Below are 18,568 nucleotides of genomic sequence, written 5' to 3'. Positions count from 1 at the left end.
CACGAAGAAAAATATCTTAAATTTAAACCCAAAACCTTCCTTTTCAAGAGAGCTGTGAGTGGCAGTTATTATTTTCTTTTATAGATTATAAGACACACAAACAAAAGTCTGGTTTATTGACTATGTTTATAAACATAATTAGTTCAACAGTTTTAAAAAAGTAATTGCTATAGACTTCAATTAAATTGGGTTAAATTTAATTATGTCTTGTCATTATCCAGGTTTACTGTAATTTTTTTTTAAACTGCATTACAGAAATATCAACTTCTTACCTCATTGAAATGTTCAGTAAGAAATTCAGCAACAAATGTGATATCTTTCTGAGTCATCTATCAACAAAAGGAACAAAAAGAAAAATCAAGATAAAAGAAAGCTGCTCAATAAAAGAAATGGTACATAATTATAAATGTGACATTTTTACTATCTACTAAAAGCCATGGGAAAACTGGCAAAGTTCTTTCAAAGAAATATAGATTATGCGACTGTGAAAATATGAACGCCTGGGGTTCCGAGAATGTAATTAAACATGTGAACTCATCTTCCAATCAGTTAATCCAATAGCTACAGAACTCTTTATGGCCTAAGGTTGTTTATTATTTCAGGCCTTGTGCTAAGACCACATGTGCTGAGGTCCCTCCTTTGGAAATGAGAACTGGACCCCAGATAAGATGTGTCACCCTTAGTTAAGGGCTGCAGGCAAACAGTGCTGTCTGCTTCAGTGTAGGCTCCTGCTTCTTGCAGTGACCTGAATTTATCCCAATTTAGTTCTTCAGCCCTCAGAAAATTATACCTTAGGATCCCTTCCAACAACTGACATATTTTACTCCCAAAATAAAGCTAACAGTGATGTCAGAAAAACAACTATTGTGAAACTTTCCTGGTTTGCAAGGCCAGTCACCCACAGTGCAAAAGATCGACTTAGCAAACGAGTTGTAGAAAGTGGAGGAACCCTTTCTCATCTAGCTCATGAGGCTAATTTTAATGCTGTCCATTTTTTCAGGCTCAAAACTACCTAACCTATCAACAGTTTCAGCAGGGGTGAAGAAGAGTGAGCTGCAAGAATCAAGTGGAAATTCTGCCCTATTCCGTAAGACTTCCCTGGAAGAAGATTCCATCACTGGTTGTCACAGTCCTTACAGGAATCCTTCCTTCCTTTCTTTAGAAAGAAACTGTTGCTTACCAGACATCAACACAGGGACTAATATCTAAGCACCTGATTTCCAAGGAAAATAAGAAGCATTTAAAATTTAAGGAAGTCAAAGTAAGGAATACAAGGATGCTGTCTTACATGTATTATAAAACCTTATCCAAACATGAAAACTATAAATTTAGATAGTCATAATAAAGGTATTCTATGAGATGAAACAATACACAAAACATGCAAATTTCTTTTTTAAAAAGGTGGTGCTTAAGGGATCTAACGTCTACATCCTGACATCCTGTTAACTAATAACTGAATAAGAGTACCAAAATGACCAGCACAGCTGAGTTCAAGCAGGACAATGTGAACACTGTGAAAATGCACTAGTACATACTACCTTATTCAGCTCGGGAAGCACATGGTCTTCTGTCATTCTCAACATTGCTGGAAATACAAAGTTAAAAAACTATCTTTAAAAGCAAACTACAAACATAATTTTAATTATAAATACATTTCAAAGACAAGGTGTTTGACTGAACTAAATCTTCAATTTTACACAGCTTTTCACCAACAAAAACATTTTTCTTCCAAAAACTAAGGGGTGCCAGAACTTAAATTTGATTCATATTTTCAGGTTCAAAATTGTTGGTCTAACCATTCTAAACTATTCTTTTTCCTCTTCAATTCCACCTGTTGCCACGCCAGACAAATCTAACTGCTGTCTGTGCTAAGACTACGTGTGTAAGGATCCCTCCTTTTAACCTGGTGATGTTTCTGCTCTTAAAATCTGCAAGCCATTTTTTCCTCCAAAGCCTTATGATACCAAAGAAATCTGTTTATTTCCCTTGGTCTTTTCTGCTACGCGCTTACAGTATATTTATGTACTTTTCTTTGATCTAGTATCTGTGGTTGACTCTCTCCGTCCTTTCACAGGATTGTCCTCATCAGTACTATGTGTTTTGTATTACGTTCCACCTAAGTCAAGACAAAGTATGTTTTATGTGCCTCTGCATGGTATTTGAACATGGTTCTTAATTGCATTTGGTCAGTAACAAGCAAGTCAGAAGTACTTTTGCAAATACATAACTGTTTTTTAATTAATTTAAACATCTAAGTTATCTGAAAGGGGAGCTAAAATCTAGTTCCACTCATTCTTATCCATCCAAAAAAACTACTTATTGAGCATACCCTAGGTGCTAGCAATATATCAGTATAAAAGATATCCCTGCCTTCATGGAGATTACATTTTACAAAGAAGAAAACCAAGGTTATACAGGTATCTACTGGGGACAGAGCCAGGATTACAAGTAGATCTCCACTTCTCCAATCCAGTGTGCTTTCTACAATGTCCTGCCCTAATGAGAAGGACCGAGCGGTAAGCCATTTCTCTCCTAATCCTGAATAAGAGTACCACAGTGCTACAGTTCTGATTCTTACTACAGTTAGAATATGTAGTAAGGATTCTTACTACAGTTAGGATATGTAGTAAGGATTCTTACTACAGTTAGATTCTTACTACAGTTAGAATGTGTAGTAAGGACAATCCTGATTCTTACTACAGTTAGAATGTGTAGTAAGGATAGACACTGCCTAAATTACCTCCAATAATTATAAGTAAAACCAAACTACCTCTGCAAAAAAAAAGTCTTCTAAGGTCTCATTCAGTTTTAATATTGTAATTTATTCCAATTAACAACATGGATCTTAAACAGGCCAGCCTGATAAGCTCTCTGGTTCCTCATTCTGGTTAGTATTGGTACAGTTTTCAGAAATATCAAAAAATTTCAAGTATCAACATAGGCAGATCACATTCAGTTTTTAAACAAAAGCAATTATGTTAGGTTGAAAAATATAGTCTGTTTTTACAATATTAGAATTGAAGATCTGGACATTTGTTTAAAGGATATCAGCACATTACAGGTAATTTTCATTCTATTTTACTCTTTAGAGTTTCAACAAGTGTGAGATAAATTACATTAACACTAAATTTTGCATTTGTTGGAGGGAAATAGATGCTGGATTATTTTAAGGATATTGAGAGTTCACAAAAATAGCAATATAAATGGACCTAAATAAAATATGCATATACTGCAGAGTGAATACAAAACATTTAATATCAAGTCAGCAAATACTTACTAACTACCTGCCCAAATGCAAAGACATTGTGAAGACACAAAGACAGGCTGTAAGTGGTCTGCATTCTATTTAGCTGGAGCATCAATACACAATAGAAGTGGTAATGGAAATGTTCTACTTCTGTGTGGCCACTAACCATTTGTGGCTGCTGAGAACCTCAAATGTGGACAGTATGGCTAAGGAACCAAATATACAGTTTTATAGGATTTCAATCCACTTAAATAGCCACATGTTGCTAGTGGCTACCACAGTGGACAGCAGAGATCTAAAGACAGAAGACGAAATAATCACACAGAAGATAAGCTACCCAAGGACAGAGACTCTTATTTTTTTTTCTTTTTTACTTTTAAAATCTAGCACCTAACAGTGCCTGATACTTACAAAAATTTTTTAAAATGTTATTTTAACCTAAGGAGACATTATAAAGTAAAAAATGTGAACTATCAGTGAGCGACAGGGATAACAGACTACAAGTTAGCTTTAACAGTTCTGTGAGGAATGTTTCTAGCACAAGGAAAAATGTTTAAGGTGATACATATCCCAATTATACTGATTTGATCTTTACAAATTATATGAATGTATTAGATTATCATGAGTACTCCAAAAATATGTATATTTATTAAATACTAATAAAAAATTAATAAATATTTCTGTGGTGAGCTGGGTGTATGAATAAAGTAAGACTGCCCATGTGTTGATAACTGCTGAAGCTAGGTGAAAGGTACAACAGGGATCATTATATAGTTCTCTCAAAGTATTTGAAATTGTACTAGATTTATTGAAACAGTCTAAGATAATACTCCTATAATTTTTTTAAAGTGTTAAAATAAAAATGCTTCACTCAATTAACTTACCCACATAAAGCCACCGAAAAAATGCTTTGAAGTTTTTCATACTACTATCTATAACTCTAAAGAGATAAAAACAAAAAATCAGAAATAAGATTAGTGTGTGGGGGATTCATACATCCTACTCAACTGTCAGGAAATATCATAATCCTTACTGTTCTATTTTATCCTATCTGGGTGACATTTAAGTCTTTAGAACAGCAGATATTACAAATCAAACGCCTACCTAAAAATAAAATTTCAAAAAAGAAAATACTGATTATAAAAATAAAGCAAATAACTTAGATTCCAACTGGTTACAAGAGCCTTGCCACAAACTGTGTAATAGTCTTTCTTATGACTCAGTAAAGCATGAACTCCTTTTCTAACTTTGCAAATAAAAGAAATCAGAAAAAACAGTTTTCAGCATTATTCTCATTTTAAAAGAAAATACTCATTGGTCAGTAAGAAGAAAAAACATCAACTTCAACAGAAAACCATTATTACAAATTTGTGCTGTCATTACCTCTGATATCAATGGACCATTATTTTTGGAAGCTGATTTTTTATCCTAACAATTGAGATCTCAAAAGTTGAATTTCCCTTGGCTTTACACAAATGTACCCCCAAAATTAAGTGTTATAAATGGAAGTCATCTTCATTTTGATAAAACTGTTTCTGAATACAGACATGGGTTATCACTTTTTAAACAATCTCTTTAAGCTCACATGTATACGATAATTATTCTAGGCAAAAACCTGTGCTTTTCATTCCCAAATCTCAAAGCCCTTTCCAAGCATTAAGTTTCATAATACCAATGAAGAGGTAGGTCAGTATCATTAACCTTTCAGTACAAAGTAAAACGCTTGGAATAAAAGACTGAAACATCTCTTATGTTACTAAGCAATATAATCAAAACCCTCTTGCAGCAATGATAAGAGAAAGAAAAAAAGTTCCTTTGTGCAGTCAATATGTTCAACCCTACCCCAGGCCACCAGACCAACATCAAAATGCTCAATGCCTCAGTTTCTCCATCTGGAACCTGTAATAATTCTACTTACCTGAAAGAACAATAAGTTAAACTACCTTTCATTCATACTGAGAAGTGATCATAGAAAGCGTAGTATTTTATATCTGCTCTCTGCAAATACGGTGAACCAAAAAATACTTCGAAATACAGGAAAAGCAATGCCATTTCTCTTCGTGTTTTTTTTGTCTTCTGAGCACACACATCTACAGCCTCTACCTTCTAAAATACCATTAAAATGGCTGTGGATGGAGAGGGGTACATGTGTTAGAAACTCACAAAAACAAAAAGAACAATAGAAAAGAAATTAAATTTCAGAAATGTCAAAAGTGACGGAAGACTGATGCAGCTCAACAGCAAAAGTGACTGATGTGGCTTAAGAGCGTAGGCCCTGTGCCACGCAGTGCACGGAGAGGGCAGCTGGGAAGGAGCCTCCGCCTTGGAGAAGCCCAGGGATGCTCAGACCTTAGCAATGTCAGGTCTAACAGAAGACCTCAGGGTGATGTGTGGGGCTGGACACAGGGGGACAAACTGAAAATATAACACAGAGTGGTCAATACGTTCTTTCCTCCAAAACATGAAGAATGCCTAGGGGGCTACTCTCCAGTCAAAAACAAACAGAGGATTCCTCAGAGAAACTGAGTAAAGTGGGAAGAGCTAAGGCACTTTCACGTGGGCACCAGTATCCTGAAGCAAAGCTCCACACACTCTGGCACCTGCTCCCTGCTGCCCCAACCTACACAGATTCCAAGCAACTTTAAATTGCCTCCTGAATAAACATGAGTAAGCAACCAAGCATCTGGTATTTAAAGAAACCTTGCAAGGAGAGACTAAGATAAACAGAAAAGTGACCCATCAAGGGAAGATAATTCAGGGAACAGCAATCTAATTAATATCCTCAGAAAGATGTGAGATGTCACATCCACAAAACGAAAGCAAAGTTTTGAACGAGGATTAAAGAAACAGGAGAACACTTTGAGAAATTAAAAGAAAGAACTGCTATAATAAGAAATTGAAGAGAATGGTTCAGTTTAATGATCCTGTCCTCCAACCCGACCTTAGACATTTACTCCAAAGTTCACACCCCAGAGGCTGTCATCACCAACTGCAACCCTTCTAAGTCTCAATTTCAAGCATCCCACTGACCAAACACCCCCTCCTATCTGTCCAGCCTCTCTCCAGGGCCCCCACCTTCCTCCCACCAGGACGCATCATCTACTGGTTCTACTACCTTTCACCATCTCTCAGCCCCTACATGTCCTCACTTCCTTCCTAAAGTAGTTCAGATTCAACGGCCATCATTTTAACCTGGTCCTTGCTACAATTCTCTTGCTCCTCTTGCTTCATTTTACTCATGAAGTCTGGTAAATCTAACTGCTCCCCTGCTCTGTGCCCCACTCCTGCAGCAGACCTGCAGCCATGCTGGCTGGCCTCACTTTCCCACTCCCAGAGCCCTCCTGTTCCATTAGTGCACTCGATCTCCTGCTGGACTAGACAGCTGCTTCACAGCTCTCCTTGTATTCTTAAACCTCCAACACCGCCTCCCCATCCTTACTCTCAGCTGATGACAGATGTCTTGTTAGGATAATAAAAGCACCTTGAAGGGAACGTCCCCTATCTCCCACCTGCTCATACACTGGCCTCTGTGACCCTCCTCTCTCAGCCTTTCCTCCTACAACTGATGAGCTCCTACCTCTGCTTTTCCAACCCTTTCCCTTCTGCACTAGGTCCCACCTCTCTCACACTCTTTATAGCCTCTCCTCTCTCATCTCAATTTTTTACCTTCTAGATCATTCCATCCATACATAAACATGCTCCAGTTCTTCCCAAGATAAAAAGAAGAAAAAACCCCAGCAATTCTGCTTCCATCTACTGGCCATTCCCTTTACAGCAAAACTCCTCAAGAGGCTATATTTGCTGTCTTCTCTGCATCTGCTCTTATTCTGTATCGTACCAGCTCCCATCACTCCCTAAGGTGGCTCTTATCAAGGTCACTATCCTAATAATATTCTAAGACTCTATTCTATTCTTGGTGTTTCCCTTGCTTGACTTAGCATCTGTCAACCAATCCCTCATTCCTTCTTGTAATGCCTTCTTCACTCAGCCTGCAGGACGCCTACTCCTCTGGTTGTTCTGTCTCTCCCATTTCCTTTGCTAGTTCTTCATCGTCCCCATTCTTAAATCAGGTCACTCCTGTTCTCTGTGCACACTCATTACCTCATCCAGTCCCATGGCTTTAAATAACACCAATGTGCTGATGGCTCCCAAATGCACATTTCCAGCCTGGACCCCTCCCTTGAACGCTAGTCTCACATAACTAACACTGTGCTGGACAGCTCCACCTGCAGATCTAATGGGCATTTCAAATTCCATACATCTAACACACTGACAGGGTGGCCGAAATTAACATCACTGAGAGGGGTGGATGACGGACACTGTGTGTGCTGCTGGATATGACAACTTGAGAAGGACATACCAATTATGTAGTATTTCTGGCCAGGGATGCATAACCTAAATATAATCATTAAAAAAAATCAGATAACCCTAAAATGAGAAACATAAAAAAAGATACACAGACATACATATACATACATACATGATGTGCTTCTTAAAGAAATGTCAACTTTTATAAAAGACCAAGAAAATTTAAGAAACTGCTCAAAATTAAAGAGACACAGCAACTAAAACAAATACGTGATCCCGAACTGCATCTTATCATACTGGACATATTGGGATAACTGCTAAAGGGGAATTGAACTGTAGGTTAATATACTGTATTAATGTTAAAAATTCCTAAATTTGTTAACTGTACTGTGGTTATGTAAGAAAATAATTTTATTCTTAGAAAATACGCACTAAAGTATTCCAGGTAAAAGGCACCTGATATAAACAACATACTCTCACATGTTTCAGAAAAGATAAATTATATGATAAATACAGTATAATATTTTTAAATGATGAATCAAGTAAAGGAGTACTAGCAGAGTTGTCTCTATTATTCTTGTAATTTTTATGTAAAATTACTTCAAAATAGTAAGTCTAAAGAACAATCTAGTATGTCCAAACCAAACTCTTGATCTTACTCTACACTCCCCCTCCCTAAACCTGCCCTCACATTTGTTCCCCCTTTCAGTAAATATCAATTCTACTCTTTCAAGTACCAAGGCCCTAAACTCATAATTATCTATGACTCCCTTATTATCACCATCTACAGATAAGCATTGAGAAAATCTTGTTAATTACATTCTCAAAATATATCCCAATCCTGACCACTTCAGATTCTGACCACCATTTCTCTCTTGGCTTCTGTCCTTGCCTATCTATGAGCTATTCTCAACTCTGAGCAGCAAGAGGGATCTTTCTGAAGCCTAAATCATATCCTCTCCACTACTCCCAAATCCCCAAGGGCTTCTCTTTACATCCAGAGTAAAGGCCAAAGTCCTAACAACTGCCCACAGACTCTATGCAACCTGGCCATCCTCTATCACCTGTCAATCCACCTCCTACCTTACTCTCATTCAATCTGCTTCAGCTATAGTGCCCTTGTCCCTGCAACATGCCAGGCATGCTCCAAACTCAGGGCCTTCACACTTGCTGCCCCTTCCACCCCCAAATATCAACAGGGCTTGCTCCCTTCCGTCTCCTTCCAACTTCACCTTCTCAGTGAGGCCTCCCTGACCACCTATATAAAGTTGAATCCCCTACCTTATCATGCCCTAGGTCCTTGTTTCTTGCTTGGTTTTTCTCAACATTACTTATCACTGTATTTAAAACATAGTTAAGTGCTCAACAAATGTTTACTGACATTTGACAATAATCAAAAAACTCTCAGAAAATCAAAAAGACAAAGATATGAAAAATGTAAGAGAAAAAGAAAAGACACAGAAATCAATCCACCACAAATTCTAATATCTGACCAAACAGATTTCTAGAACAAAAATCTAGTTTAAAACAAAGAGAAAGCTTGGCGTAATGGCATACTCCTGTAGTCCCAGCTCCTCAGGAGGCTGAGGCAAGAGGATCACTTGAGCCCAGGAGCTCAAGTCCAGCCTGGGCAACATAGAAAGACCCCATCGCAAAAATAAATAAATAATAATAAAGTAAATAAAAGAGGGAGGAGTAAATTATTAAAAGAATAATACAAGAGAATTCAGGTTAAAATGGCTTATTATAGCACAATGAATTAAAAGGCCCACACCCAAAAACACTGTTATGAAATTTCAACATATCAAGAATAAAGAGTAATGCTTTTACAGCTTTTTCAAAACGAAAAAAAAAAAAAACTATAAAGGGCTAAGAATTAGAAGCACCAGACCTTCCATCAGCAACAAAAAGCACAGAATCCTATGGAACTCTGCTTTTGAAGTTCTATGTGAAAACCAATAACCCTCAGGGAATCCTAAAGCCAGCTGTCAATTAAGTGTGAGGGTAGGAGAAAAAACACAAAAGGAGATAAAGTTTACCTTCTATGTCTGCTTTTTGAGAAAGTTACTAGAGGATGTTTTCCAGCAAAATGATTAAATAAGCCAAGAAACAAAGGCAATCCTGGCAGTTCTGGGTCTAACCCAGGAGAGTAATGAAGAAAATGCCCGGGTGGTAGCCGTGCAGGAGAACTGGACCACAGCTGCAGGCTGAAGCAGAGGGGTGGGAGGCTAAGGAAGGCATCTGGAACAGGGGACTCCAGAGGTACTACACCACCCTTCAGAAGGGAAAGGACGGAAGGATGCAGAAAAAACAGACAATGCAAGAAAACAAGCAAGCCTAACAGTCTAAGAAAAACAAAACAAAGAGAATAACTTCTAAAAATTGACAAAAGAAATGTGGCATAGTCATACAATTTAGAAATATGGAGGTAACCCATAGAAGAACTAAAAATAGAAGTAGTTAAAGAGTTAAAATGATTCCCTCTGGCGAGAAGACCTGAGGTAAGGATGACCAGGACAGGAAAATACAGCTTTACTTTATAAATTCTCTGTGCTGCTGGCTTTTCGGAACCATATAAAGGCATAATTGTGATAAAAATTTAAAAACTGATTTTAAGAGAATCATAACAGCTTACTAGGTTCTTATTTAGGTCAAAAGTGACATATTCTTAGGTCAGTGATTCCAGGTACTCCCAATACTTACTGAAGAAGTTCATTTGCCTTGAGTATAAAAGAACCCACAGCAGTTATAGCTTCTAAAGGGAAAAAATAAATAAACGTCATTTGTCAAATAAGTAAACTGTGTTTAATGTATTTCACTGAGAAATTAAATCACTACCTTCGATTCCTGCAGCATCTAGTCCAAGAGGTTCATATTTTTGCTTCCATGAAGCCATTCCTTTCAATTCACTCAAATGGTATAATAAAGACTCCGAGCCACTATCCAAACAGAGCAGAAATAAATTAGTATCATGACGATCATCAAGTGACTAACTTGCCTGAATATTTCTAAATTTTCAGAAATAAAAACTGAAAGTAACTTTCATTTTGTTTCCATGAGAAATAATTATTTCTCAAAACTGTTCCTAAAAACTGCAGCAGAACCATCTGGTCAATGTGACTACAGAGATAAACAAATGACAAGATCAAATTTTGTAAGATGATCAAATTGTGTTCCACAGTTAGTCCTGACCCTTTTAAGACAGTTGTACAGCCATCTTGTTCACCCAACTACTACACAGTCAATGTTCAATAAATATTTCTTAAGTTCCCATTTTGGGTCAGGTACCGTGCTATATACTGGGGACATAACGGTGAACACAATCAAAGGGTCTCATGGCATTGACAGTATAACAGGGAAGACAGTCATGATCGCATAGTCATACAGTGTACCATTCCAACTACTATAAATGCCTTGAAGGAAACACATGGGGTGCAGGTATAACAGAAGAACCTGAGCTAATCTGGGATTCAGAAAGGCTTTTCTGAAGGAATGAATGAGCTGAGAGCTGAAGAATGCATGTGAAGAACAAGTTGGGACAAGAGGAATATGCAAAAGCCCTAGGCAGGAGACAAAATGTCAAGTTGGAGAAACTAAATGGCCATCAGTGTGGGCGAGGCAGAGAGGCAGGTATGCTAAAGGCCACACAAAGGTCTCCATTCTAACGGAAGGCATTAGAAGTTTTTAAGAGAGAAATATGTTTAGCTCTACTGGGGAAAATACATTCAAAGGACAGTGTGTACTGAAAGAGCCCAACTAGTCCAGAGGGTGCTACAGTGGTCCAAGGGAGGGGTGATGTAGTTAGGGCCAGGGACTCAGCATAAAGGAATATACCAAAATTTAAACCAAACACCACCAGGTGTGGTGGCTCATGCCTGTAATCCCAGCACTTTGGGAGGCCGAGGCAGGTGGATCACTTGCGGTCAGGAGCTTGAGGCCAGTCTGGCCAACACGGTGAAACCCCGTCTCTACTAAAAATACAAAAATTAGCCAGGCGTAGTGGTTTGCGCCTGTAATCCCAGCTACTTGAGAGGCTGAGGCAGGAGAATCGCTTGAACCCGGGAGGCGGAGGTTGCAGTGAGCCGAGATCACATCACTGCACTCCAGCCTCGGCAAGACTCCATCTCGAAAAAACAAAAAACCAAAAATCAAACAAAATAAATCAAACGCCCAGCATCCACTTGTAAAATGCTTCAATGAAGTAGCTATGGATAGAAAAAGCATGAGATTTGAAAATCTAGGATGAAGTCTTGGCTCCGACACTTAGTAACTTTGGGCCAGCCATATAACTGATTCTGAACTTCTGTATCCTCTTGTGTAAAATCACCAACACCTTGCCAAGATATTAAATAAATAAATATACAATATTCTTGGTAAACTGTAAAATGTTAATCTCACTGCTCAAAAAAAAGATATATGCCTTATTTCAAAATATACTTCATGCTTAGCTGATTAAGAAAAAAACCCAGATAGAGTCTAGCCTGGTGAAAAGATGTTGGAAAATTACTTCATAAAGCAGAATTATTATTGACTCTTTCAATCTTGGGTATAGGAAGATTCTTCTCAAATGCCATGCAACAATTTTAGCTAGAAAAGGCTTAAAAAGAGAATGCCAGATGAAGAAAAGGCGGCGGAAAGAAGGCCAACGCCAGGTATGTGTGGATACAATACCAAAAAATTCTACGTCACCTTCATACCTCTGTAAATGACTTATGACCAATTTTTGTATACTGGAGTATGATGACTCTATAGACTGGCCAAGCTTTTTCAAGCCCTAATTAAAAAAGGAAAATATATTTAGCATACAATCAGGATATTATATGCCACTCGAAAAAAAAAATTAAGAATGTGTTCATAGCCATTTGAATACATAGATACATTAACTGCACCTTTACTGTTAACTGATTCATCAAGAGAGTCTGAAGTTCAGCACTACAATGAAAAACAAAGTATTTTTAGTCACTTCTCTATTGGAAATCTGAATGCATCACTTACAACTTTTAAATTTCGAAGCACAAACAAGAAACAAAATAAAGAAATAGCCCCACAAAAAATTCTACGCATGTAACATCACATATACCCCGTAAGTATGTAACACATTATGTATCAATTAAAATATTATGTATCAATTAAAAAAATCACATACTATGACTATAAACTACTTTTCAAATAAATAATTACTGTTAAAAAAGAAGCAAAAACAGGAGCACCTAATCTGAGTTTATTACCTTGCTTTCCCCCATAATAGCAAGTGCATGAACTCATCTTGCACTGATGTGGTTGTGTTCTTTTCCTGGAAAAAAGTGAAAAAAAAATTGTGATATATGTATTTCTTAAATTATAAGCATATTTATTCAAAATTATAGGAGCATGACTCCCTTTCCTTGCCTTAGACTTCCATCAAATCCATAAAGTGATCATCTGAACATCAGTGACTAGAAGATAGCCAATCAGCTGTTCTAACACCTGCCCTTATTGCCAAAGCCCCACCAGCTCCACTTCACAATCCTGTCCCCACTTAAGTTGTATCAATGGGAAAAGAGCCCTTTTGGCAAATCTGAGGAAGCAGTTTGAAGTCAGACGAAGCCATTTGAAAGAAATTATGATCTTAGCCTTTTATGAATCAAACTGATTTTTCTCATGTACCTCAAGGTAAAGACATACATCATGCATTCTTTAACTCTCTCCATGGGAAACTTCAGCTGCTTTACCTGCACAAACTTGGTGAGACGAGAATCCATCTGCATTAGTATTTCTTCCCATGCTTCACACATACATGTTAGTGACAAATTTATATACTATTAGCAAAAAAGAAAAATTGAAATGGTAAAAAATATTTAAACCAACTTGCTATCTAAATAATATGTGCTTATGATCAAGTGTCTCAAAGAAATCTAGAATTTACTTTCAATCACTGTTTTATTTTTATTATTTATTTATCGAGACAGAGTCTTGCTCTGTCGTCCAGGCTGGAGTGCAGTGACGCCATCTTGGCTCACTGCAACCTCTGCCTCCCAGGTTCAAGCGATTCTCCTGCCTCAGCCTCCCAAGTAGCTGGTATTATATGCGTGCGTCACCATGCCCAGCTAATTTTTGTATTTTTAGTAGAGACGGGGCTTTACCATGTTGGCCAGGCTGGTCTCGAACTCCAAGCCTCAAGTGATCCACCTGCCTCAGCCTCCCAAAGTGCTGGGATTATAGGTGTGCGCCACTGTGCCCAGCCTCAATCACTCTTTTAACTCAGTTAAGATGGAGAAAAAGACAACAGCTTGGTCATCACTTAACTACGAAACATTCCATTGATTCTTAGAATTTCATAATAAAACATTCTTAAATTTTTATCTGGTGAAACAAATATCTCCAAGCTTTTTATATAAGATATGTCTTATCTACACTAACTGTCAAAATACTGGTTTGGTCAATTATTCAATTTTAAAAAGATACTGATCTCTAGAAACCTTTAATATCAAATAAATTAATGACTGTGGTAGAATGAAAAACATGGCCACAATCTTTTGTAGCCCCTCCAGTCAGATGCAGAGTCCATTTCTTCAGCCCTTGAGTCTCGCTTTGACTAACGGAATGCAGCAGAAATAACACTGTTGACTCCAGGGCCTCAAAAGTCTTTGTACACTTCCACTTGCACCCTCGATGCCCCGTTACCACCACCATGTGGACAAGCCTGTGCTGGCTCGCTGGAGTATGAAGGATGTGGAGTAGAGACAAGGAATCACAGCCAAGGGACACATACCAGCTGGCATGACCAAGTCTAGTCAAGATCAGCTGAACCTTCTCCAGGTCACCCAAACATCTTGGCTAAGCTGAGCCTAAATCACCAACCTACAGAATTGGGAGGTAATTTGGGGTGGGTTTATTATGAACAAATGTAAACTCATGTGAAGACTGTTTTTCCCACAATACTTTATAATGTAAATGGTATTTTATTTATGGGAGTATTTTAAAAGATTTAAACTCTTTTGGAGGTGGAAAATAGGGTGCGGTGAAAGTAGGTTCTCAATTAAATGTCCTTTTCCTGCTTTAATGGACCTTATAAGATCATCTATCAGACTAGATACCTCTACTTCAGAAAGCTTTACAAAACAAAATTTTGAAGCTTTTTATTTACAGAACTTTAGAAGCCGATAATAAATATTCACATAAAACAAGCTCTAAATAAATACCTGTAACAGAGCTGAAATATGAGTAAACTTTCTGGCCATCCGAGTTACTTCAGGTAAGAAAGAGTACAACAGATTAGTTTCAAGCTGTAAAATCAAAAGAGTAAAGTGAGTCATCATCAGATGCACTTGCTGCAAAGTCTGTAATTTAGAGTGTGGGTCAAACTACGTATCAGAAAGACTATGTCAGAATTGTGCCCTCTTTGAGCAGAACGGTTTGGAAACAGCACATAGCCTTAGGATCTCCTAACCTACACATAACCATACACAAATCACTCTCTCTGGGTTATCAACCCCTCCTGTGTAGATAGAATAAATGTAATATAACCTATTTTGAAACAGTATTACAAAGAAATGTTTAAATCACAAATATATGTAAAAACTTAAAGGAAGTATAAGGAATTAAAGGCTACTGATAAATATTGGGAAAATATCTATCAATGGTATATGAATTGTATCTTAATAAATTTGTCATTAAAAATGATCTGTTACCAACTTCACAGTAGTAGTGAATCATTTTATTATAATCCAAATGCAATCCTGGTGATCATAGTTTCACATAACCTTAAGAAGATGAGCAAATATGAACAACCATTACCATAGTGAACAGTAAACCAAGAGTTCTCTGATGCTCTGAATACAAAGAGAATGTTGGAAGACATCACACACATTGCATCTTGCATCTTTTTTGTTCTACTTTTGTTTGAGAGTTCACACATACTTAAGTGGCTGGGATATTTAAGATGAAAATTTTCGATTTCTTGGCAAGGCTATGATCTAAATACTCTATGGGAGCCCAGTTAGCTTCCTTAATCTACAATGCAGACAGCACGCAATAAAGCATTTTCCCAATATTAAGTGATCATTTTACACAAGATGCAATGTGCTAGTTAAGAGCACAGATTATGCAGCCAGATTGTCTAGCATCACTTTCCCATCCTGTGACATCAAGCAAGTTCTGAAGTATTTGTGTGTCCATGTACTTACCTATAAAATGGGGATAATAACAGTATCTGCCTATTATGATGCTGTGAAGATTCAAATCAACTGTTCTGAAGCATTCAGCATATGGCACATATTAAACAATCAATAAATATTAACCTTTGTTATTATCAGGGACAGAGTCCTAAGCAAACACTTGGTACAAAGTCAAACTGGAATAGCAACAAATTAATATGGTCATTAATAGACCACCAAAACACTTTTTATGAAAACTGTATTGGAGCATGGGAAGAATAATATGGTATTCACTATAATAACACTCAGTATATTAGGATGTAGAAATTCCAAGTCGATTTTTTTGCATTATTTTAATGATCATTACAATACAGTGAGATGTGGATAAAAACCTATATAAAACCTGTTAAATACATATTTACTCTCTACCGTTATCAAGTTCCAATACTCACCTGAAAGTATGAAACTTCTGAAGCACCATTGGTAGAGACTTCTGTGACCACTGATAATGATTTCAAATCACTTGATAAACATAATGCAAGACAAGTACCAGCAATCTGTAAAAGAGTCAAACCCCTTAGTATATTTAGTATCACTGCTAGGTTGAAGCTGATTATCATGCAGAAAGCAAAAACTCAGAGCTTTAAAAAGCAGAAACAAATTCCCAGCTCCAGCCACACACATGTAGCAGATGAAGGTAGGTGTCTGCCTGCATGGACCTTTCTAGTTACAAGGCCACAAAAATAACCTGGTTCCCTCACCCCTACCCAAGTCTCAAATCAAGTGCTGCAGAACCAACATATTCCACAGAGCCTACAATATTTTCTACCCCTTTTGCGAGTGTAAGAGTCTGATGAAAAAGCTATGGAGAAGACTGAGACGTAGCAACTATAGTACAGTCAGTACTGGACTTAAGAATGCTTCTGAAGATTTACATTCCAATCACAAATTGAAGCTCTTTTACATCTCACACTAGAAAAACATCAAATCATAATCAAGTGTATCATACTAATCTTTCTGTTAAAGAAAAAGAAAAAAAAACTTGACTAATTCCACAAATAGCTCCCAATCTTTATAGACATATCACAATTATTTTATCTTAGTAAGGAAATTAGTCTCTGAACATTTAAGAATAATTCCAAAAATCGAAACTGAAAAAAAACCTAGTGTTTTATTCTTTTTCCATAAGTACCTAGTATATTCTAAGAGAAATAATTTAGGAAGAGAAAATGTTAAAGAAATCTTACCCCTGTGACTCGAGCAATTTTAAACATTCCATAAGCATAAAGCTCAATAAATCCAGAGCTTCCTCCAAGGACGAGAATATTAAGCCTAATTAAAAACAATGCAACAAGCTGAGAACCAATCAACAACACAGATGATTGCATTGTTAAAGCGAGATATAAATTATTACTGCTTTCATATAATCTACATGCTAAAGCTCCCCTGCAGAGGGAAGTGAGACATCAAATCCACTAACACTCAATATTCAGTCACATCAGGCTCATTCCTTTTTTCAAAGAACACAAATTTCCTCTAGCCTAAAAAAAAATCAGCTTACAGTAAAATAAGAATACATTATTTTAATAACAACTATATTTATACACTCTCAATAACAAAACAATCCTTTTACCAACTAATACAAAGTGCCATCAGTTTTATCATGGTTATGATGCTAAATATATTAAATGGGCTTAAAAAACATGAATACTTAAAATTTTAGAAACTCTAGTACTTATATCCTTTAACTTATTAAAATAAACATATGTACATCATATTATTATTAAAACTTCATAAAACGAAAGGCCACACAATAAAAACAATAATAGATATTAAGGTCTATATATTGTTTGAAGGTATTAATGTCAACGATAAGGCCAGGTGCGGTGGCTCATGCCTGTAATCCCAACACTTTGGGAGGCCAAGGCGGGTGGATCATCTGAGGTTGGGAGTCTGAGACCAGCCTGGCCAACATGGTGAAACCCCGTCTCTACTAAAAATACAAAAATTAGGCCAGGCGCGGTGGCTCACGCCTGTAATCCCAGCGCTTTTGGAGGCTAAGGCGGGTGGATCACGAGGTCAAGAGATCGAGACCATCCTGGCCAACATGGTGAAACCCCGTCCCTACTAAAAATAAAAAAATTAGACAGGCCTGGTGGCGGGTGCCTGTAGTCCCAGCTACTCGGGAGGCTGAGGCAGAAGAATCACTTGAACCAGGAAGGCGGAGGTTGCAGTGAGCCGAGATAACGCCACTGTACTCCAGCCTGGCAACAGAGCGAGACTCCGTCTCAAAAAAAAAAAAAAAAAATTAGCTGGGTGTGGTGGCGCGTGCCTGTAGTCCCAGCTACTCGGAGGAGGCTGAGACAGGAGAATCGCTTGTGCCCAGGAAGTAGAGGTTGTAGTGAGCCAATATCACGACACTGCACTCCAGCCTGGGTGACAGAGACTCCATCTCAAAAAGAAAACAAAAACAAAAAACAATGAAATAAAATGGCAAATAAAGGATTTGCTCTTAAAGCTTCTGAAAACTGCCTCAAATATGAAATAACTTTAAGAAATTAGACTTATTTATCTGTAAGATTTACCTGACGTCTCCCAAGAGCTTAATAATTTCATCAGAATTTTCTTCACTAAAATATAGAAGTAAATTGGGTCATCTTTCAATTCTGTCTTCCAAATAATAGCAGATTATCTTACTTGAAAACAAGAAAAGGCGTATCTTACCTAAATATTTTTGAGGTGTTGCTATAGCTAGAAGGAAACAGAGATTAAGGTAAAAAATACTCTTAGTAAAAATACATATTTTAAAACGCATGAGAAAATTGTCACAGTGTTAAAAGCAGAAGAAAGAGAAATCTGCAAGATTAATTTCAAAGAA

The 18,568-nt window shown here is 37.2% G+C and overlaps 1 protein-coding gene across 5 annotated transcripts in view; it reads right to left on the bottom strand.

Moving 5' to 3' along the window:
* Nucleotides 1–18,568, bottom strand: part of ANAPC4 (anaphase promoting complex subunit 4) — a 41,236-nt gene that overhangs the window by 11,341 nt on the left and 11,327 nt on the right. For 3 of the 5 annotated variants that reach the window (NM_001286756.2, XM_047450152.1, XM_011513838.2), the window contains 14 exons: nucleotides 18,415–18,441; nucleotides 18,276–18,320; nucleotides 16,938–17,022; nucleotides 16,143–16,247; nucleotides 14,737–14,820; nucleotides 13,267–13,353; nucleotides 12,784–12,848; nucleotides 12,445–12,487; nucleotides 12,253–12,329; nucleotides 10,394–10,494; nucleotides 10,259–10,310; nucleotides 4,132–4,187; nucleotides 1,536–1,585; nucleotides 273–329 (listed from right to left, as the gene is read on the bottom strand). In NM_001286756.2, the coding sequence (NP_001273685.1) occupies nucleotides 273–329; nucleotides 1,536–1,585; nucleotides 4,132–4,187; nucleotides 10,259–10,310; nucleotides 10,394–10,494; nucleotides 12,253–12,329; nucleotides 12,445–12,487; nucleotides 12,784–12,848; nucleotides 13,267–13,353; nucleotides 14,737–14,820; nucleotides 16,143–16,247; nucleotides 16,938–17,022; nucleotides 18,276–18,320; nucleotides 18,415–18,441 (934 nt within the window). Of the gene's footprint in view, nucleotides 1–272; nucleotides 330–1,535; nucleotides 1,586–4,131; nucleotides 4,188–10,258; nucleotides 10,311–10,393; nucleotides 10,495–12,244; nucleotides 12,330–12,444; nucleotides 12,488–12,783; nucleotides 12,849–13,266; nucleotides 13,354–14,736; nucleotides 14,821–16,142; nucleotides 16,248–16,937; nucleotides 17,023–18,275; nucleotides 18,321–18,414; nucleotides 18,442–18,568 lie in introns of those variants that run through there. The other 2 variants (NM_013367.3, XM_005248159.2) reach the window with 2 other exon arrangements.

The sequence above is a fragment of the Homo sapiens genome, chromosome 4 (assembly GCF_000001405.40).
Source record: "Homo sapiens chromosome 4, GRCh38.p14 Primary Assembly".
Lineage (NCBI taxonomy): Eukaryota > Metazoa > Chordata > Mammalia > Primates > Hominidae > Homo > Homo sapiens.
This window is presented reverse-complemented; position numbering and strand designations above follow the sequence as displayed.